Source organism: Homo sapiens, chromosome 8 (assembly GCF_000001405.40).
Source record: "Homo sapiens chromosome 8, GRCh38.p14 Primary Assembly".
Classification (NCBI taxonomy): domain Eukaryota; kingdom Metazoa; phylum Chordata; class Mammalia; order Primates; family Hominidae; genus Homo; species Homo sapiens.
The window spans coordinates 119,578,195-119,600,896 of NC_000008.11; the positions used below are offsets into that span (position 1 = coordinate 119,578,195).

The following is a 22,702-nucleotide window of genomic DNA, read 5'->3' on the forward strand; positions in this document are numbered from 1 at the left end:
CACGCGCCACTGCCGCCCGGCTAATTTTTGTATTTTTTTAGTAGAGAAGGGGTTTCACCATGTTAGCCAGGCTGGTCTCAAACTCCTGACCTCAGGTAATCCACCTGCCTCAGCCTCCTAGAGTGCTGGGATTACAGGCATGAGCCACTGTGCCCGGCTGAGGTTATTGTTTATAATGAATTGTGAGACTGGTTTTGTCATATAAGGACACTGCCACCAACAAATTAAATGCAGGAATGTTTTTCTCAGACAGAAATGCTTTAGTACCATGAACAGTCAGACTTTGAATCAGCAAAATCATGGGAGTTCAATAGAAGTTACCATAATTAATTTCATTAGTGACTTTTAGAAGAGAAGCATCTGAGTAGTATTTATCTGCCTTGGCAACTAAATATCTAAAAAACTTGAATCATGAGACTCCCCATCTTTTGACTCTAGCAATGTTCTAATTGTTCTAATTATAATGACACTATAGTCCACTAGAGGTTAGGTGTCGAACATTGCAAATCACTTGTAGAGTTTGTGAAAGATTTGTGTGCCTTCTACCAACAATGGCCTATCTTCAAAGTGAGATTCATTCCGTTCTGTGCCAGAGTCTGTGTGTTCTGTGATCAAAGGGAGAAGTGGGATGATGGAGATACAGAAAAGGAAGAAGGAGGCAGATGAAGATCTTTAAAAGAGGAAAAATAAGTCAAGTAAATCAAATCTTCTACCGGTTTCCTCAACTCTACTTAATCAGATTGGAAAGAGCATATATGATAAACAGAACCATATGTAAGCTAATAACTCAAGCGATGCTCTCAGGAGAATTTGACCACGTGCATCTTTGCTGCATGACTTGTGGCTGCTATGCTTGAATTCTTTCTGCATTTTCCATACACTTTTAGTCATTTCCTGGCTGTTTCAACATGTTATCCCATCTACTTTAGTAACATGTATAGGAGGCTTCCCCTCCCCTTCTATTTTCCTCCAATTTTGTGAAACTTCACAATCAGATAAAAAGAGCCTGCATGGTAGATTGTGTTATTGCTCCTCATTATTTACTGCCTCCACCCATTGCCATATGACTTGCAGGATAGAGTCCCCGTGGAAAAAATGTACTTCCCTACACCATTGGTATCATGTGCTCAGCTTTGGCCAGCAAACTGTGAATGGAGTGACATATGCCTCATAAAAGCAGAAGCATTAAGACACAGTGCACAGTTCTGCCACTCTTTTCCCTCTGTCAAGAGCAGGACATGTCTCTGATGAAGGCTACTCCTTCAGCCTGGGTTCCAGAATAAAGAATACACATGGAGCAAAGCTGCCCTTGGCCTACAGCCAGCACACTAAAATGGGAGCGAGAAACGCCTCTTAGTACAAATCACTAATTTTTTTTTTTTTGGTCATATCATAAGCTTGCGAAAGTTCACTAATACGTGCTCGTTATCATTGTACGTAAAGTAAGAGTTAGGGCTTGAGATGATCCTTCATATGAGGAGGGAGTTCTGATTTGATTCCTTCGGTGAATCTCTCCCTATCACAATATATATATATCTATATATACACTGACTCTCGAGGTAGATACCTTCAGGATAGGCACCAGCTGCTATTATTTATCATTGTGACTATCATTCCCTTTATAGGAGTGCCCCACAGTGTCTTATGACTCATCAGATACAAAATGGATTGTGTACTTTTCAGAGGGCTTAAAAGCTATTGAGGGGGGAGAAAAGCTATTGGAATTTTTTTATTACACAGCTGGCATCTTGTGTACATGGAATAAACAAATATCCTTTGCCAGATAGGTATGAAAGTCACTTTGAAATACAAATTCTAATTTTAAACAATATTGTGCTTACACTATAATGTAAATAAGAAGCCTTTTCGATTTTCGAAAACGAGAAAAACCTTATCTGATTATTTTGCAACCACCCCTTACCTTCTGTAGACCCTTTTGTATGAAGCCGTTTGTTGAGTTCATCCAACTTGTTCTTCATGTGTGAAAACCAGTAAAGGAAAAAAGAAAGCAAATCAGAAATGTTCTTTCCCTCTGTGCCCTTCTGTCGACTTAGCACCCTGCTAAATTCAAAAGCGAACTCTAAACTCCATCTATATCATACATTCTTTCGAGGAATTAACTGTTTTCTCTCAAACTGACATTCTGGGCTCCACCTCTAGCAGTTCTATGTTTGTAAGCACCTTCTTCAATCTCTGTTTCCTTCCTTAAAACTGTGGATAGTCACCACAGTACCAATTTCCCATGTGGGTACTGATGATGACTTGGGCATATATGTGTAAGTAAATTAGGATAGCGCCTAAATGTTTCAGATTAATCTCTAGGCACACTGAAGTGATTCCCAAACTAATTTATGAAATCACTTTTCACCAAAGCTAAAACGTAATGACTCAGCAATTCTGAAACAGCATGAGTCAGCAACTCTACCCTTCACTGTATACCCTAGCATATGCGTGCAAGAAGACATTTCCAGTAATGTCTGTGGCAACATTGTTGTAAGAGCTAACATTTGCAAATTACTAAATGTTCTCAAGTAGGAAAATGGAAAAAAATTCTTATGGTACATTTATACAATTAAATATTAACTACTGTATTAGCAGTAAAAATAAGTGAGCTAAAACTTCATGTACTAATATACATTAAGTCTCAAAAACATAATGATAAAATAATTGCAGGATACATATAGTATAATAGCATTTATTAAAAATTTTACAACATGCAAAACTATAGTATAGGTTATTTTAGGAAACTATACAAAAGATTACTTCATACGTTATTTAATAAATATATAAGGCCAGGCACAGTGGCTCACGCCTGTAATCTCAACATATTGGGAGGCCAAGGCGGGTGGATCAGCTGAGTCAGGAGTTGAAGACCAGCCTGGCCAACATAGTGAAACCCCGTCTCTACTAAAACTACAAAAATTATCCAGGCATGGTGGCAGGAGCCTGTAATCCCAGCTACTCAGGAGGCTGAGGCAGGAGAATAACTTGAACTCAGGAGGCAGAGGTTGCAGTAAGCCGAGATCACACTACTGCACTCCAGCCTGGGCAACAGAGCGAGACTCCATCTCAAAAAAAAAAAAAAAAAAGAAAACCTGTCCAAGCATAGTGTGTGGGGGTAGTCTCTGTTTGCACCACCACCGCATCCTTGTTGCACCCTCCCACACCCTGCTCTGTGGCCTGGGAGGCTGACCTCTAGGGATGGCATCAAAGAGCAAACTTGCCCTGTGGCTCCCTGTTGGGCTCTACCAAGGGGAAACATGTGAAAGGAAGTACAGGGGAGGAAGATGACGGTAGCACTCTCCTATCTGGGAGTGCTCCCTGCTGGGTTGCAATGAACAAGCTGCACTCATCGGCCAAATACAATAGTTCCTTCCTATTCGGTTGTCTCTCCATGTTTTGGAAACTTACTCCTTCCCCTCACCCTTTAAACCTTAGAAGGTACTATGCGAACCCCAGGGCACTTCGTCACTCCTCATTGAATTCCATCCACCCTGCTCAGCCTTGGTAAATTACTCATTAAACATGACTGAAACAATTCCTTTAAACTCTCTCTTTTTTTCATTTCCTTTTTTTTTTTTTTGAGTCAGAGTCTCACTCCGTCTTCCAGGCTGGAGTGTGGTGACACAATCCCGGCTCACTGCAACCTCTGCCTCAAGCGATTCTCCCACCTCAGCCTCCCAGCGCCACCATGCCCGGCTAATTTTTTTGTGTTTTTAGTAGAGACAGGGTTTCACCATGTTGACCAAGCTGGTCTGGAACTCCTGACCTCAATTCATCCACCCATCTCAGCCTCCCAAAGTGCTGGGATTATAGGCGTGAGCCACCATACCTGGCCTAAACTCTCTTTCAAAACCTCTTCTATATGGGCCACCTGTCTCCCGTCGGGACCATGACTAATAGACATGTGATCCACAGTTGAAGAAAACAGAAAAAGATTTTGGTTGAGAACTGTGACTGCACAGAATAGCAACATGAATTCTACTTTTTGTCTTTCATGGTCTATACCTGTGCTATTCAATATGGTAGCCACAAGCCACATAGGGCTCTTTAATTATAAAGTAATGAAATAAAAATTTGAGTTCCTCAGTCACACTAGCCAGTAGCTACCATTTTGGACAGCATAATTATAGACCATGTCCATTGTCACAGAAAGTTCTATGGGCCAGCACTGTTAGCCACCCAACAAACTTCTCCATAATAAACATAAAGATTATTTCTACCTTTGGCTCTACCTTATCATCACAAGTGCAGCCCAGGTCAAAATCAGACTGAAGGTACATAATCCCTGGATAATTGGGTCTGGTAACTTCCTCTGGCATGGTTGGCCTGAAGGTATTAGTGCGCAGGAGATGATTCAAACTTCCATGGGTCCCATTATTAGGAGCTGGCTTCAATCCCAGGAGATCTAATGAAAATTAAGAAAAGGAGGCAGGTGCTTCTTATATTTTTTTGATGAGATATGGTAAGATTTAAAACCCTTCACCTTCTATGGGTCTGAAAACTGTGAACACAAATCAGAACTGGACAAAACCAAATGTAGATGGCAGGCACCCCCTCCTTACCTCCTGAACCATTCTGGACTAACTACATCTTGCCACAGCTTTCTGAAATACCCAAGTTCATTGCCTGACCATGAATAGAGAGAGAGAGATTCCCAGAAAGAAAGAGTGAAGGAACAAGACTTTGATTAACTATTGCCTGTATCTGCGATAGTTACAACCCAAGGGTGATCAATGTCAGTATCACTTTTTCCTGCACTTCTCTGGGACTATTTAATTCCATGTTTTGAAATGAGACTTATAATCAATAACTAACTAGAAGTCTGCCCTCTAATGACTCCACAGAAGTGTGGGGACATGAGGAGGCTTTGGCCCTGTCCCCTGAAGTGCCACTGAGCAATGAACAGGCTGATTTCATAGCAAGTGAATGGTTGCCAAGTGCGTATTCAGTAACTTGCTTGAGCTCAGAGGCAGGACAGGGGACAGCTAGCAGCCAAGATGGGAAAAGAACCCAGGAGACCCGACTTGCAGACTCCCCCTCTAACCACCAGACTGGCACTCCCTTACTAAATAGGAAAAGTTGTCCTCATTCAGCAACTAGAAGTTCAAGGAAGAAAAATAATTAAGAGCACATAAATAGCTGGCCAGGATGCAAGCTGGCAACATTTTTAACTGGGCTGCAATGCAAGAGATGGAGGTGGAGGGGACTCTGTGCAGAACTCTTGCTTCATCAGGTCTCTGACCAGTGGTGTCAAACTGTAATGCTATGTTAGACCAGCCAGAGGCTGCCAACAGCAACACTATGAAAACGCCCCATTAGTCAACTGTTGAAGGAAGACAAAGAAGCCTTAGAAGGGGATAATATTCTGTCTTTGAACCAATGGGCAAGTTACAACCTTTTGTGGGGAAGAGGAGGTAGTCCCAGAAAATAGACACCTCATTTCTTTCTCTGACATTGAGAAAGATCATATATACTAACTAAAGATTGTTTCAATGGTTCTGATTAAATGAGTGACTTACCACACATAACATTGTAAAGTTCAATGTTTTCAAATGGAGGCACTTTAGTCTTGTACTTAAATGTTGAGCCATAACCTACAAAAACAGTCTTCCAAAAGAAAAGAAAAACAAAAACAGTTAAGCATTGTTAGGTAGGAACCCTTCCTCTATTTATGAATACTGTACAACTTCACTCACACCACCATTACTTATCCTTTCGAAGAACCACTAAAACACAATTTCAATTCACAGTTCTGCCATCATACCTGCATGCTGTTGACCTTGTTATCAAATCCGTGGTCTCCCTGGAAAAAGCATTTTCCTGATGGTTTCTTATAAACATCCAAAGGTTTCCTAAATTGAAACAATTTCATGATTAGTTAGAATTTCTCATGAAATTACTTTGATAAAAAGGTAATTTCAGGGTACAAAGAATATCTAAGAAGGGGCTTTTGAAAGTTTGCCTCTATTTTAATTGCATTCTTCTTGTGATGATGAAAAGAGGATCCTATGCATTTCTCCAAGTGACTTTTCTTTGACAGTTATTGCAGGATAAATGGCGACCTGTGAACTGAAGTCACGATGCCCTCCTTGGAGCTCGTGCTTACACCAAGTAGGGCACTTGTCAAAAGTCATGCTCTGCCTGTCTAGGTGCTTCGCTAGCTCTGAGACTGTAAGATTCTCGACTCTAGGACCATGTTTGTCTGGTTCACTTCTATGTACCCCTCCCTAGGGTCAGTGTCAAGACATAGTTGGCACTTTAAAAAAATGTGATGTCTCACCTATTATATACCCATAATAATTTAAAATTTAAAATAAAATAAATTTGCGATGTTTAAACAATGAATGGAGATCTATATTCTATAAAAATATTTGCATGCAAATTTATCTATCAATATACAATACAACTAGAGTACAACTAAGCAGCCAACTTAACAGTAATCATGACATATCTGACAAAAGCATGGTCTCACCTAGACAATATCTCTATTTAGAAACAGAAAACAGAAATACTGCTCTCTAGACATCAAGACCATCTGATCTTTCCTTTTGTGACAGAAGACACCTTTTGCAAAAGTGTCATGTGACCCTTTTCCAAAATAGCTTTCATGTTAATTTAATACAAATATTTCCTAAGTACCTATGGGTATATAGCACTGAAAGTGCTTTGGGAAAACAAAAAATCTAACATACGGGTCTCCACCCTTGGAAAAATAAGGGCTTGGGATAATAAGACATATGCATACAATACCTCAACAATGCAAGATGAGTTAAATTTAAAAGATGCATTGTTAACCAACATGCCTGGTTTTGGGCTACACTAATTTGCCCAACTGTCATCATCTTTCACTTAACTTCTACTCAGCTCCCATGTTTTTGCCATATGAACCTACTACCTGCGCCAGTGTGACCCCTTCCAAGCTGCCCCATACATAAAAGGTCCTTCAGGAGCACATACCGGGCCAATTAATTTCAGTCACATCCCAATTAATTTACCAGGCCAGTAAATTCTCCATGAGGATTTCCCACAACTGTTTTAGAAGACTCCAATAATTCCTGTTCTTCGTACATCTTTCTTCATAATCCCACATATCTAACTCTAAGTACACCCTGGAAAATTACAGCATGATATTTATGTATCTGTCAAATGTGTCTCTCTAAACATCCCATACTGATACAAGTTTCTAGAGTTCTAAGTTCTTCTTAGAACTTGAGTTTCTAAATATTTTCTTGTTATCTTCTTTCTCTTGCAAACTAGTACCCAGCTAGAGTACATGTGGCAGTTGTTCAATTATTGAGATAGACAAATTCACAGCACTTTTCTTAAGTAGAAAGTTGGAGCAAGAGTGAGTGGGAACAGCTACTTCCAGGTCTGTGTGAAAATGGATAAATCCTTAATAATTAACTCATTGGAAGTTGTTAGAGCCTCCAGACATGTCCTAGACCACATTCAAAAGCAAGGAACATTCTCTTCAACATTGGAGAGTGTTTTGTAGTTCAATAGAAGGCAAACATTGGGAATATTTAAAGCAATGTAAAAAGTGCCCACAATAACAGAGTTTTTAACATTAACAACATTTTCTAAAGTCCTCTATAAATATTGCTACAAGCAAAGTCTCAACAACCGAGATCAAATCAGCCCAATATACTAAGGCAAGCTCCCATTTATACTTTTGACTTACTCAAGTAGTAAGAATAGAGTTTAGAATGTAAATTCAAAGGATGAAAGAGACACACACACACACACACACACACACACACACACAGATGCACTGACAGACTGCAAAGAGACACCACAATGCTGAGACCCAGAACATAGAGATATATTGTCTCAGCACTGATGGTTTATGTAGCCCACAAAATCTTTGGAAACAGTGAGATTTCCAACTGATATTTCTTTCAGTGATGACTAAGGATGATAAAATATTTCCAGTTGCCAAAGGGGTGGTTGTGGAAATGAGAAACAGAAATAGCCCATATACCAGTTACCTTGCAACATGCCATCTGCGTTCCACCAATAAATGGATATCCTCAATTCTTCTGTTGTTGGCATAGTGCAAACGTTTGGGAAGGTGCTGTTTCAAGTAAGGCTTAAAGTGCTGATCTGGTTTTTTACACTGAAATAGAAATGGAAATCAGACTTCAGATGGAATGTCTTTTGGAAAAATTCTTACAAATTCTCTCTCTAGAAAGCTGAAGGAGATTTTAAGCCTAACCAAAGGTTAATGAGTGAATAAATGAAATTTATTTCTATTAAATAATGTATGCTGAAAACAAATAGATTCAAAAGAGATTAAGTAACCTTGGAGATGATATGACAGGCTATCTGAGGACAGTTAGGAATTTTAAGATGCATTCCTGGCTTGTGAGACCATCGCTAAGAGCAATTCACACTCCAAGGCCTTTCCCAACTCCTTCAAGTCAAGCAGTTGGGGGTGGGGTGTCGGTGGGAGGGGAGGAGCACATGGGTTTAGGCTTATCTGATTAGATGCTCTTGTACCACTAAGGTCGCTACCCAGCATCCGGGAACAATGGAGCAGAGTGGGTGGGCAGTTCTGGTTCAGGGAAAGTAAAGATTTGTTTAACCATGAATGAATACTTTTCAGTTCTAATGGAAGGATCAGATATTCTCCATTTGTATCATTGCCAAGACCATTAGGGAGCCTGCAGCTGACCACAGGCCAGAAGTTTTGAAAGTTCTTAAGGAAACAAATATACAGGATGGCAGGGCAGTGAGGAAAGTGTTCCTCCCACCCCTCCCCGCCGGGGGAGGCACACACAGGAGGGAGGCTGCTCCAGGGGCAGAGGCCTGGGCAGGGCAGAGGCGGGACAACTGGAAACACTTACCGTGAGATTGGCAATAATGGCTTTGGGGTCATCTGTTCAAAGAGAGGAGAAAGATTTCAAAAGAAATAACAACCATTACCAAGAGAAATCATTTTTGCAGCAAGATACTCAATTCTTTCTCCTTCCATCCCACAGAAGACTATCACTTTAGTGTTTTGTTTGAAAGATAAATAATTGTGTAGGGGTATTTAACATTTCAGTCATTGACATGCAGCTAAGCAAGTGGAACAAATCCTATAGTAAACTGCCCTCCTAGGTCCAGTTCTGCTCTTCTGGAGGGAATTCCTCCTTCCATAGCACCAGGATACTGCTAGGTAAATTGCTTCTTGTTTTAAGTTCCCCCTAATGGTTCCCCTTGAGACATAATTTATTTGCAGTTTGACCTCAGGAACTAAACTGGGCATTTGGGGCTTTTAATGTAACTTCTTATTTATCTGCAGATTTTTGAAACAAGTCTTCACCCACTTTAAGTTGAAACTTCTAATCCATTGAGTTATTTTTTTAAAAGGGAGTTTGTTTCCCTATTTATATCCTGGGTGTAATTACACAGGTAGCCGCACCTCTCCAGCCATAGACACACACGTGCATGCACCTCCTTTATTTTCAATAGCATCAAGTAAAAGATTTTAGTCAATACTCTGAACTAGCTAAAAGCAAAATTATGTAAATGATGGCTGTGCATAAACTGTGGACAGGATTATATTATCTGAAGCTCCCCTTTTGGGCGGAATGTGGGGAGAAAGAGGAGATTGTAGGTTGCTTGGATTTTGTTTTGTTTTCAGGAAGTTTGCTTCAGTATGTTATTACAGAATCAGCAGAAAAGGAAAGTGGTGTTCAGAAGAGATAGCAACTATCATGAGGCAGCCCTCCCTGGCATCTAAATACCAGTGGAGCAGGCCTTATCTGTATCACGTGCTGCTGCATCCCTGGGCCTGTTCAGAGTAGACACTCAATATACATTTGTTAATAAATATTTGTTCATATTTGTTAAAAATGTATGAATAAACTTGCCTTGGGATATAAATATACAGACTCCAAAGTCTATTTTCAGAATCTTAGCTCTAAAGCTTGAAATCCGAAACTAAAATGTGTATTCCATTGGCCTTAATTACATCTCTTACTAGAAGGCAAATAAGTAATAATGTAATAATAATAGCCCGAATAGATTTCATACTATGTGCCTGTCTTTCTATAAGAGCTCTGCAGGTGGCCAGATACAGTGATGCCTGTAATCCCAGCACTTTGAGAGGCAGGGGTGGGTGGATCACAAGTTCAGGAGATCGAGACCATCCTGGCTAACATGGTGAAATCCCGTCTCTACTAAAAATACAAAAAATTAGCCAGGCTTGGTGGCATGTGCCTGTAGTCCCAGCTACTTGGGAAGCTGAGGCAGGAGAATTGCTTGAACCCAGGAGGCAGAGGTTGCAGTGAGCCAAGATGGAGCCACTGCACTCCAGCCTGGGCGACAGAACAAAACTCCGCCTCAAAAAAAAAAAAAAAAAAAAAAAAGAGCTTTGCAGGCACTTTCTCTCTGGTCATTCACAATAACCCTAGGAGGTAAATGCTGTTCAAATCCTCACTAAGCCAATGGGTTTTCAGAAGGAGGAGGAGTTGGCACTCTGACACTCAAGCAACCTGATTGAGCAAGCCAGGCCTCATAAATCATATTCCTCAAAGGGACGAAATAAAGTAAGTTCATGGTCTTTGACAATGAAGAGAAGTAAATAGCATGTACTCAGATAAGTCCCAGAGAATTACTAGGAATATCCAATGCCTGAGTCCATACTGGGGACATCAATCCTTCAATTCTGAAGAACTTAGTCTTTGCAGGCTAACAGTCCTCATTTTGTGTGAAGAAAGGGCAGTGGTTCAGCTAATCTGGCTTCAAATCTCAGATCTGAAACTTACTAACCATCATCCTCGAAGCTAGTTCCCTCACCCCTCTCTGAGCCTCAATTTCTACTGTCTATAAAAGGGATAGTGATACTTATCACACAATGCTATTAAAAGGATTAAATAAGAGTGTATGTGTATGTGTGTGTGTCTCTATCTGAAATAGTGGTATGACTAAGACATCATCATCATATCCAACCTTTATATAGCTTTGACTATGTGCTAAGCACTGATCTAAATTATGTAAACACAATCTCTTGTTTAATCTTCCTAACAATCCTTACCTTGCAGATGAGGAAGCAGAGGTACAGGGCGTCACATGGTGAGTACCGAGCAGAGCTGAGATATGAACCCAGACATCTGTGCCTGTCACCACCCCATGCTACTGTCTCCCACAAAATGAAACCACATTGGAAAGTGTTTTTGTAAAGTACAAAAATTTTTATCATTGATAGTTATGAATTCATGGGCCATGGGAAGGTTTTTTTTTCTCCTCCAAACCAACCTCCCCATTACATGTACTAATGTCAGAAATATTGTTAAAAATAGAGAAAATCTTTTTTGCATAGCCCTGAAGTGCAAATACTAAAATCGAGGGGTGCCATAGTGACTGCATCCAGTCTATGCGAGGGCAGAAAAGGGAGGACACAGGGACAGGAAAGGTCATGGAGGAGAGAGGGCAGAAACACCCACATTTTGTTTATTTCACAACATGGTCTGGAGCTGACCCTGGAACAGTTCCAGTTGTGTTGACTCAGGAACATAATTAGGGAAAAACTTAATTTTCCAAAGCTGTAAGGTTGGTGTCAATGGTTTCTTATTCCCAAGGCTAAAAACTCTAAAGAATTTTTTTTTCAAAGTGCGGCATAACCCCAATAAAACTATGGACTTCTCAAAAGCTAGGTAGACAGCACCTAAAAATCTTAGTCCACAAATTAAGTTTGTATCAGTGGTAGATCATAACCTGAACATGTAAAACATAAGTGACAAGATTATTCCTGTTTATTTTTATTTCTAATCTTTCAGGACAGCTGCCACTTCCCAAGGGCTTAATATCTTTTCCTACTAGGTTCTACCAATCACTTTTACAAAGAGAATGGACTCCATTCCACAAGGCTCCTAGGAACCCCCACAGTCCAAATGTGGTTCTGCCAACCCTTACATAGACCCTCTAGTTTCATCTATAAAAATGATCAGCCTGAACTTCTTATTGAAAAAATTCTTATCTTATAAACTTCTGTTTATGGTCATGAATATGCTTCAAACTAAGTGCAATTTCCACATAATAAGAATAAGAGCAAATATTTATATAATGCTACTATGTGCCAGGAACCACTCTAAGCAATATGCATAGATTAATTTCTACAGGTAGCTGCTAGCATTTATCATCCCCATTTTTCAGATGAAAAAACTGAGGCTTAGAGTCTAAATGACTTATTTAAGGTCACTCAGCTAAGCGGTAGCAGAGCCAGAATTTTTACCCAAGTATTTCAGCTTTAGAAAACAAGCCCTTACCTATTCCTTTGTATTACCACTCTAACCACTTAATATTTTAAGAATCAACTTACATTTAGCATTGTTGCTAAATTTGGATCGAATTCTTCCTAGAGTTCCAGGCACTAAAGTAATATCATCCACATTAGTTAGGTAATTACTCAAGAACTCAGTTCTATCACATGTGACATCTTCCATTCCTATGGGGAGGGAGAAAAAGAATATTTTCAGGCAAGACTAAAACGAAAATCTTAACATAGACACGAAAGATAACATCCAGGCATCTCTTTAGTTAGTTTTTAGTAACTTAATGGGAAGAGCCCTGACTTTTGAGATTTTTGTATTTGACTTTAAATGGTTTAAGGCTTCTCTGTATAATCTTTTCTCTAGACTTTTACTTAGCCATATCATCTTGCAAGCACTAGAAGGTTGAAAGTGCATTACCTCGATTACATTTTAAGTCACTCAGCCAGAATAGCAAGACAAAGGAAGTCACCATGATTTAAACAACAACAACAACAAACATAACTATTGACAGAGTCTTTATGAAAAAGATCTATTCTTTAAAAAAAAAAAAAAAAAAAAACCCTAGGTTGCATCAAACTCTTCCCAGCTGGGGGTGGTATAAATGGAATATACAGTTCTGTGTCTCTTTTACAAAATGTCATTTTCCAACTCTCTAATATATCTCCTGTCTTGAGTACATAATCACCAGTCCTCACTGTCTCCACTGGTGGCCTTGGATGTTACTGACAAAACAATACTGGCAACAAGAGATGAGAAAGAAAAATGTCAGTTCCAATGACCACCCAAACTGAAAAACAAAATAACACTGAAAACAAGTTGTAAACAATGTAATTAGTCAGAACTGAAAGCTAGCAACTAAAGCAAGAAGGTTCTAGGTAGGGAATTTTTTTAAACAACAAATATTTCTCCTCCACCCCAAGATTTGTTGTGTGTCCCCATCAAGGAAAATTCTTTTATTAAAATGCTTTTATTTAAAACATTGTTGTAAACTCAAATCTTAGCATCATAGACTATGGAGGCTACTAGAGATCTTATTGAAATGTATGAGATGACCTGGAACGTTTTAATATATTGCTCAGTACAATTCAGTATGTACATATTCTCTAACAGGGAAAATAACCCTGTTGGAGAATACTCATATATTTATATCCTGTAAAGGATGCCCAAAGGTTTTAAAATAAGGAAATACAACCCAGAGTACCCCAGATCTGGTAAAATTTAACTAATCACCTCCTAGGATCCCAGATCCAGAACCTTCCCTTGTTTAATACAAATTGGAATGAAATGCAAGAAAAAACACACAGCATAAGGATTATATATCTTGCACTTTAACAGTTAAACCCTTAGGAAGAAAAATAGAGCAATGAAGAGCTACTATGTTTTAGTACAATGTTAGCGTGGGAAGGGAAAGTCCCCAAATACCTATTAATAGAGGGCTGAAAGTCTTTCCCATTTGTTATATTTCTAGGAAGTCCCTTATGCCACCCCAAATGTGAGCAATCTCCTTTACTTTTGAAGTCCATCAGGCACTATGCTAAGTGCTCCTCAAGCGTCATCAGCCTTCACTCTGCAGACTAACTTTGTGGAGGGGTGTTAATGTTCTCACCTGACAGATGAGGAAACTGAGACTTGCCACAAAAGGTGTATAGTGTCAGATAGCTGTTAAATGACACAGTGCAATTTGAACTCCACTAAAATTCATTATGACTCCAAAGACCATGCCCTAAAACACTAAACCATACCATCTTTTAAGAGAGAGGTGCTGTACACTTTGGGAGGCCAAGGCAGGCAGATCACCTGAGGCCAGGACTTCGAGACCGGCCTGGCCAACATGGTGAAAGCCCATGTCTACTAAAAATACAAAATTTAGCCGGGCCTGGTGGCAGGTGCCTGTAATCCCAGCTACTCAGGAGGCTGAGGCAGGAGAATCACTTGAACCCGGGAGGTGGAGGTTGCAGTGAGCCAAGATTGCACCATTGCATTCCATCTTGGGCGATGAGAGTGAAACTCCACCTCAAAAAAAAAAAAAAAAAAAAAAAAGAAGAAGAAGAAGTGCTGTAGTTGTCCCAAACCAAATGGATCTACTCATCTTGGAAGCCTACACACTGACAAGCCAAGGTTTTAACCTATCCATGACCTTTACAATGCCTCAGCACATATCATTGGGACCCTTCTACTTAGATGTCTGGCTCCAGCATGTGAGCAAATGCTCTTGACACCTCTGGGCAACTTAAATTGAATCAGCTGTGACACATGCTCCAACTTCTCTGACCTGTGTGTAGCTCTCCACTAAGCCGAATGCATGGAGCATGACTTCGCAAAGGGTTATATCTAGCCCACTCAAGAGGAGAAAGCTAATCCCTTTGGCTTTTTTTTTTTTTTTTTTTTTTTTTTTTCTAATTTCTCATAGATCTTCTAGGACATTCTGGAAAGACCTTCAGGACCAGAGCTAGGGAGATTTGCCTACCATTCTTAACAGAACTGCCAAAGAGTCAGCCAATTTTCATCCTCCGAACTCCACTAGAAGGGAGAAGCCCCAAATTCCAATGCTACTGTTTCAATCTAATAGTTCCGGAATACAGGAGATACCCTTTAGAACTCAGTCTGCATGTCTCTGAGCCCCCACCCCCTGCACAGCTCTACAGTCATATAATGTTTATGATGCTCTTGATCTCCTCAAAGAATTGATCATAAATTTTTCTACTTCATAAAGTGGGATTTAGAAAAACTACTTCCTATAATGCTTCTTCCTCTCTTTAACAGTCATCTGAATTACAGCAGGGCCTTCCGGTTTGGACCTTGACTTCCCTCAGTGGATTCGGGGAAATGATTTGACTTACACGCCACTTCTTTGACAAGAATCCCATATCTCTGCTTCTTTATCATATTTAGATGTATTTTTTAACCATATAAACTCCATGGGCTCGTTTTGGGGATGTGGCTGGCAGGGATAGGAGATTATCACCTGATATGTCACATTCACAGAAGAAGCTATTAATGTCACAAGGAAACTGTCTGTGTTGCTTTAAAGAGAGACAGATTTTTGTAGAAAGGTCTTTCCTGCAAATAACAGAAATATATAAGAAGTCCCAGCTTTTGATCAAAATGAACCCAGGGATCTCTCAGGTCATCTCATACTTTTCAATCATGGCCTGATTTCTATCCCCATCTTAAAGAAAGCGGGGATGAGGTTAAGAATGGAGTCTTGGCTTCTAAGGGCAAGGATTCTTTTCCTCAATATGATCAGAAACATTATCCATCTATCCTATTAGCAAAGAAAAAACAAAGCTTTACCATGGTCTCCGACAAAGATGACGTTGACACACCGATGCAGTTTTAGTTGTTTCAGTCCATCCATTAATTGCCCCACAATTTTGTCGATTTCCCTCAGAGGATTTGTCATCTAGGAAAAAGAAGCAAGTTAGTCCCCACAGGGTTTTCTTTCTTTCCCTTTCAGTCTCTCATAGATCTTCTACCCCTAGAACATTTTGGAAAGAAAACTTCCGGCCCAGAGGCAGAGCTTTGTCTGGGGAGATTTGCCTGCCATTCTTAATGAAATCTGGTCTAAGCACGTTATATTTGTATTCTTTTGACAGAATTAAAACCTCTCCTCATCCAATCCCTTTAAAGATTCTTTGATATAAAAATGTCAAAAATATTGTTAATGAAAATTCTTTAAGAGAGAAAATCGACTTTCTAATATGTGACAGCATCCTTTAAATCCAAGAGTTTTGAGAGTAAACAGAAAGTCCCTAAGTGAAATCACATTAGATTTTGAACTATGGCAAGAAGATAGACGCTAAGTGAATTCAAAGCTGTTCTGAGGTTAAAATCACAACGTTGCACTGGATAATAAATTAGAATATCATTAATACAATGAGATCCATCTTGTTCTAAGTAATTTAACTGTTGGCATCTGAAAGCAATAGATTCTTAACAGAAGAACCTATTCTAAGAAACAAGTTATTGCTTCTCACTTTAGTTCTTTTAAAGCTGATTTTGAGTGAAACAAGAATCTATAAGAGTCCTAACTTAAAAAGAAGTGAACCATGAGTTTGTTCTAGAAGGTTTCTTCTTTAACAAAATATGAAAACTCAATTCTTTTCTGAAGACCATTTCCAAAGCCTAAAAAACATTACCCATATCTCATTTTCTTACTTCAAATGGAAGTTTCTAACAGCATGAATGTCCTCACATACTAGAGGCTCTCCATCCCCCTTTCATCTTTAGCTGTGCAATGGAAAGATTTTTAAGAAACATCTGATCAGACAAAGAATAGAAAGATACAGGGAGTATATTTAGATGAATTTTATAGCTTAGCTAACAATCACATAAATATACCCAAGATGATTAAGATAAGAACAGAAAGGATGTGAATATCATTTTTACTCGGACACATAATATTATCTTCCACTAGCATCTTCTCAGATGAATCAAGACCTTTCCTCCTGTTATTTCATTGGGAAATCAGGTGTAAACTTTTGTTTTTTTCTTCATGACGGGAGTCAGTATTTCAAGTCCTATCCCAAGGAGGAAGCCACAGTTGAAAGTTTCAGAAAGACATGTGCAGAATAATCGGAAGGGACTAACGGGTGTGGAACAAAGTGGTATTTGCTTCTGAGAAAATCATGCTCTGCTCCAAGATCTCTGTCTAGGTAAAGAAATACCAAATGAACAATGTGTTTTGATCTTTGGCAATGACTTATTTTCCTTTACTCAGCAGGATGACTCAGGTAAAATCCAGAACCTACTTCTTAGGGATCAGTTCAGAGGATCACAAATAAGATACTGCCTCAGAGGTATTCAAAGGTTTTAGGAAAAGCAACAACCGATAGGCTCTTCTGAACATACTGGGAAGAGTAGACATTACTTGTGGAAATTACATACAACTCTATCCGCCCATTATTTTCTCTTTCTTTCTGTCTTAGCTATTTCCTTCTCTATAACCTACACCTTTTCTGATCTCTGAAGGTACAGACCCCTAATCTAAGCCAACTTCCTATTGAGTTCTAATCCACATTGTCTTTGAGAATACCTCCTTTTACCTTGCAGGGTTGTTCTCAAGAACCAGGGCCACAAACCATGTGACTGATTCTGTGAATAAGTGCACTCTTAATAGTCACTCCAGCCTAAATGTTAATACTAGTTTTAGGGCAACTAACTCTTAAAAAAAGGAAAAGACTTCTTTTTTTCCTGTCATGTTGAGTTCAGGCAGTCTTCACATCAGTGTTAACCTCTGAAGTACCACATTCTTCTGGACTCAAAGCCAAGGTCAATGCACCAGAGTTTTTCTAAAACTTGCTCAGCCGATTTTCCAACCAAGGCACTGAAGGCAACCTTCAACTCAGACCTGCCCGCCACAAAGCTTTGGAACAATAGATAAACTTACTTTGTCCTGACGAGTTTCCGCAGCATAATGATCCATCCTATGTATTTTTCTTCTTCTTTTCTTTGGAGGAGCAACTGGTCTTTCCTGTCTCCTCTTAGGGGCAACTTTCCTCTTAGGTCTCTTAGCCGGAGTAAAAGGTGAGCCATAACTACTCTCCTGTACTGGCGGATAGAGATGTCTGGACTCAGAAGTCGTCTGTCCCTCTGAGTCAGATATAAAGCTTACACTTTCCCATCTGGGATCAGCAGAGTCTCAGAATAACTAAGGCTCCTTAAGTGAGAAAAAATTGGAATGAGGGATGGATGATTAGAGGAACTCTATGGAGAGAAGCCTCCTAAATTGATGTTGATACTGTTGTCACAGCTTCTTCGCTGAGAACAAGAATCCAATTTAAGAAAATCTAGTCATGTGGGTTTCTTTTGGCTGATATTTATGGATGTATGGGAAGGTGGCATTAGACAAGCTCTGTATTCCATAACTCCTGCATTAGGGAGAGACTGGTCTTTGGTTATGAAAAGCTCTCCATTTATAAAGAACTAACTGAAAAGTAGGCTAAATACTAGCCACTTGGTCATTTCAAGAGGACAATGAGGTTCATGTAAGTGATTCCAATTCAGAATCTGACAGTTATCTTTCTGTTCACGTCAGCAACTATGTCAAAGCAACTGTCACCTTCATTGGCAAGGATCCAGTGAAAAATTTTAAAACCAAGGACGGAATGAAACATAAATAATAAGTAATCCTCCTTAATCATAAACGTACTCCCACAAATCAGGACTTTCAGCAGGAGAGAGAACTCACTGACAATTAAGGTTTTCAGTACAGAGGAACTCTAAGTTAAAGTCCTTTTAAAATTAGGTAAAATCTAAAAAGTCATCAAAAAGTCATCTCTTTTTTGTCTTGGTATATACAGACCAAGAAAGAGTCTCCTTATGCTCTTGCTATCAGAAACCTGCTTTTAAGGGGCGTTGCATGCTATGGGTTTTGTTTTGAAAATCCAGAGAGCAGTGAAGTTGACACATAAACTGAAGATAACCTTTTGGGATTTCCAAATGCTGGAGGAAAAACAGGCCCCTGATTTGCTGATGGTGCAAAGGTGAATTAAAGCAGCAAGCCTTGCTGTCTACCTCACTGACTTCTCTCGGAGGGTGGGTGGGGGGAATGTCTTGAGAGCCATTCAGATGCAGGAAGGGGCGGGAGGAGGAACAATGTTAGTGTATCCAAGAAGGGGAACATCTGCCATGCGATTTCACTGTTTCCAGGGCAAGCCATGGCAAAGGCACTTCTGTTTCTGTCTCATCCTCTCTCTCCACCAAAGCAATCAAAAGACACAGCCCCAAAGACTTTGGTTTTGTTTGTTTGTTTTTTAATGCTCCTAGTTTTAGGCAAATCTCCATAAGAAAAGCAGCAAAAGGAAAAGAGGATTTTCCGTTTCATGGTCACTGAATACATTCTGCTAGCGCTCAAGTCGGCCCATCAAACTCTATGCCATTTGCAAGAGACCTCAACATTCCAAAGACTCCAAAGATGAGCCCTTCCAATTGCAGCAGGTTAGAGGAGCAGAAGAGTAGGGTTTAGTCAAACTGGGTTTTCATCCAGTGATTATATCGCATGTATTTCCTTCTTCAAATGTTAGAGGTACATGAAAGCTAAGTTTTCACTGACCAGCCATACTTTAGCCTGAATTTAGAAATTTTAGCCTGAGGTTATTAAGAGGATGGGAGGTAGAGGTGCAAATTTCCCTGCATTTCAGGATACTTTGCCATCTGAAGGTAGAGACTAGCCAGCCAAAGCTCTGCCTGTAGGCCCGGAAGAGCAGCCGAACAAGGGGTCACAGAAAAAGCATAGAAGGTCAAAAAGAAAAAGATTGCGCCAATAATCAAAAGCAAGCATATTTTTGAACATTCACCATTACACTCTGAAACCAGGAGCAATACACCATTTCTTGAACTATTAACTCAATGTTTGGTCATCTCATTTAATAGCTTTTGAGAATCATTCTGAAAAAATGTGGACTCAAATATTTAGCAAATAAAGCACAAATTTCAACTGAATTCATCTTATTGTAGCATATAGCATTTTGGTAGTTAAAATCATTTCAATGAAATTTCAAATATAGGTTATTTTCTTATATGTAAAAGATACGTTACTGATTTTAAAATAATCTTTCAACTAGTATGTTATAATCTTTTCATGTATAATAAGTGTAAATGATGATATATAGGTAGGCATATAGGATACACAGGTGTATAAACCAATTAGCCTACAATAGAAGAGAATTTTTGCTGACTTGCTTTGGTTTCATGTTTTAAAAGCATAAACTATTTTGTTTTTCATTCAGTTAAAATAAGATTCCTAGAACCAGATGAGAAATAATTGAAATCTGAAAATATCCTTTGCCTTATGAGAAGAAAATGACCAGGTTATCAGATTACCATTACTGAAGATATACTCCAAGATACCCAATTAAGAGTTTATCCAGTAGGCATATGAAAATACCCTAGCTGCAAGAAGTAGTAATACTGAAAAAAACATAACATGAATACTTTCAACTCTTAATTCAAAGGTACTATAGGAAAAATCTCTGTTTATATATTTGTGAGCAACCCTGGGCATAGAAAAATTATTATAGCAAATTAAAGCATCCTGTATGCCGCTTCATTTATTCCCTACTCAGTACTTTCAAAAAAACTTATTTGTTTCTTAATTCACACAAACATATACTTTCATGCATTTAATTGTAACTGAACTACACATATTAGAAACCCAAAGATGTTTATTGATTAAGAACATTTATCATTAAGCCATATAACTTTTAAGGTTTGAGTTATACCTCATCTGTATTATTAAAAGCCAAACTTTTGCCATAAAGAAAATGTTCTGTATAATTTGAACATAGTTATTAACTGACCACTTTGCTTATCTCCTGGACTGCAGGAGGGTTAAATGGTTCCATGGAAGGGAGTGTGCTCTGGGAGTCAAAAGTTCTGTAGTGCTATCTTCAGGTTCTCCCCTTAGCAGCCAAGCGAAAGTACCGGAGTCCTACTTTTAAAAGGATGGCTATACCAATCCGTTTTGCCTACCCCACAGGTTCTTTGAGGGGATGCTATTACCCAAGAAGTCAAACTTTTAAGTAGGGAACATGGAACTGCTTAGGTGTTTTGTTTTGTTTTGTGAACATTTTGATAAAATGTGGTTCCTTTTGTTCCCTTTAGGTTAATCTCAAAGAAAGTCAATCTAAAAATAAAACAGCCATTCTTGCTTTGGTGTTCTTTACTGGCATCATGTATGCAGATGTTTATCTCATTTTATCATTTGTGTTTCACAATCATACAAGACGGGTTAAACTTCAAAGGGACAGAAAAAGAGCATCTGACTTATATAACTTCAGTGATTTAAGACTAAGAGTGGTTTTACGTAGCTATTAGTTACTAGTGCTTAAATAAATCACCTCTGAATTGATGTCAAAGCATTCAGAAACACTTATGACTCCTTGGTCACATGCTGCAAGTATTGTCAAAATACTTAAGTATTGTCAAAAAACTTAAGTATTGTCAAAAATACTTAAACCAAGTATGTTTAACCAAGTATGTTTAAACCAAGATATGTTTACCTGTATTTCTAATTCATCTGAAAACAATGAACTTAATTATAGTCAGCAGTGTCCTATGGGTTACTAGGCTACTTAAATATTTAAAAATATTTAAAAGGTTAGATTTGCAAACTCCATCATATTTTTTACTATCTATGCTGAAAATGTGGGAACATTTCTAACCATTCCTTTCCCACCTTCTGAATTTGAAATTATACTGGATACTACCTCACAGATTGTCTTCCACAATGATGGCTGAGTGTTTGATAAAAATATGTCACCCTCAGCTGGGTGTGGTGGCTCACGCCTGCAATCCCAGCACTTTGGGAGGCCAAGGCTGGTGGATCACCTGAGGTCAGGAGTTAGAGACCAGCCTGGCACAACATGGCGGAAGCCTGTCCCTACTAAAAATACAAAAATTAGCCGAGCATGGTGGTGCACGCCTGTAATCCCAGCTACTCGGGAGGCTGAGACAGGAGAATCACTTGAACCTGGGAGGTGGAGGTTGCAGTGAGCCAAGATCACACCACTGCACTCCAGCCTAGGTGACGGAGCAAGACTCTGTCTCAAAAAAAAAAAAAAAAAAAAAGTCAGCCTGCTCTGCTAAGCAGATTCATTCAGTGGTATATTTTTCTCAAGAATTTATGTTACTTTGGGGGGGTGATGACTATGTTCATATCTTGAATGTGGTGACAATTTCACAGTATATATACCTATGCCAAAATGTATTAAATTCAAAAGGGTCCATTACTATAACTTATGCCAAGTTGATTGTATTATATCTGCCAAGGTTATTGGAGCTGCTTAGCTGATCTACCCTCTCTAAACTGCCTAATCATTTCAAGGGTGCTGAAATTCATTTACAATGTTTTGCATTGCAGGTTTCATCTCAAGATTTTTTTCCATGCCTAGCCCATTGAAGGCAAATGCCAACTCTTCCGAATTATTCACCCTCCAACTGACGCCCACAAGGCTAGAATACACCCCATCTCCTGTTAACATCAAGTTTAGGATATATTATTATTTAAATATCAAATCAATCTGAAATGAAGCTCCTGTAACAGAAACAGGTCGTTTTAAGATTTTTTAAAAAATTTTTAGTCTTGTAGTTATTTGACTTTGCATAAACCTTGTAGATACAAACATCCATCCAGACTTTATACAATTCCTGAAATAAAGTCAGTAGATCAGGTAGCCCAGGGCCACAGATTCTTCTCAGGCAGATGCTAAACCACTAACCTCAGGGCCGAAAGGGCCATATTTGTGTCCAGAGAAATCAGGTTGCTCAGAATAGAAGGCATAGACCGAAGGCCTATAAGAAAATTGGAAGGTTCAGAATCTCTCCTAAACCACATGTAACAAAAAATATCACATATTTTTAAAAAACGCATTTAAAAAAAAATGTTCTCAAGTTTAATTTATCCTTTAACTACTATTCATGTTAGCATGAAAAACTTT

General features: G+C 39.0%; 1 protein-coding gene across 14 annotated transcripts in view, besides 1 other annotated feature; it reads right to left on the reverse strand.

Moving 5' to 3' along the window:
* The window catches only part of ENPP2 (ectonucleotide pyrophosphatase/phosphodiesterase 2), a 116,305-nt gene that overhangs the window by 21,109 nt on the left and 72,494 nt on the right, over window positions 1-22,702 (reverse strand). For 4 of the 14 annotated variants that reach the window (XM_024447182.2, XM_017013573.2, XM_017013575.2 and 1 more), the window contains exons 11-19: window positions 22,484-22,556; window positions 15,558-15,666; window positions 12,311-12,436; window positions 8,850-8,881; window positions 7,992-8,119; window positions 5,768-5,855; window positions 5,523-5,610; window positions 4,236-4,408; window positions 1,922-1,973 (exon numbers count right to left, since the gene is read on the reverse strand). In XM_024447182.2, the coding sequence (XP_024302950.1) occupies window positions 1,922-1,973; window positions 4,236-4,408; window positions 5,523-5,610; window positions 5,768-5,855; window positions 7,992-8,119; window positions 8,850-8,881; window positions 12,311-12,436; window positions 15,558-15,666; window positions 22,484-22,556 (869 nt within the window). Of the gene's footprint in view, window positions 1-1,921; window positions 1,974-4,223; window positions 4,409-5,522; window positions 5,611-5,767; window positions 5,856-7,991; window positions 8,120-8,849; window positions 8,882-12,310; window positions 12,437-14,730; window positions 14,786-15,557; window positions 15,667-17,652; window positions 17,809-22,483; window positions 22,557-22,702 lie in introns of those variants that run through there. The other 10 variants (XM_017013574.2, NM_001330600.2, NM_001040092.3 and 7 more) reach the window with 4 other exon arrangements.
* Window positions 18,726-19,423: an enhancer, noted in NCBI's record as "OCT4-NANOG hESC enhancer chr8:120609160-120609857 (GRCh37/hg19 assembly coordinates)". NCBI's record gives its function as "activates a minimal SCP1, AML or CMV promoter by ChIP-STARR-seq in naive H9 embryonic stem cells {active_cell/tissue: H9 hESC(naive)}" and the evidence as "EXISTENCE:reporter gene assay evidence [ECO:0000049][PMID:30033119]".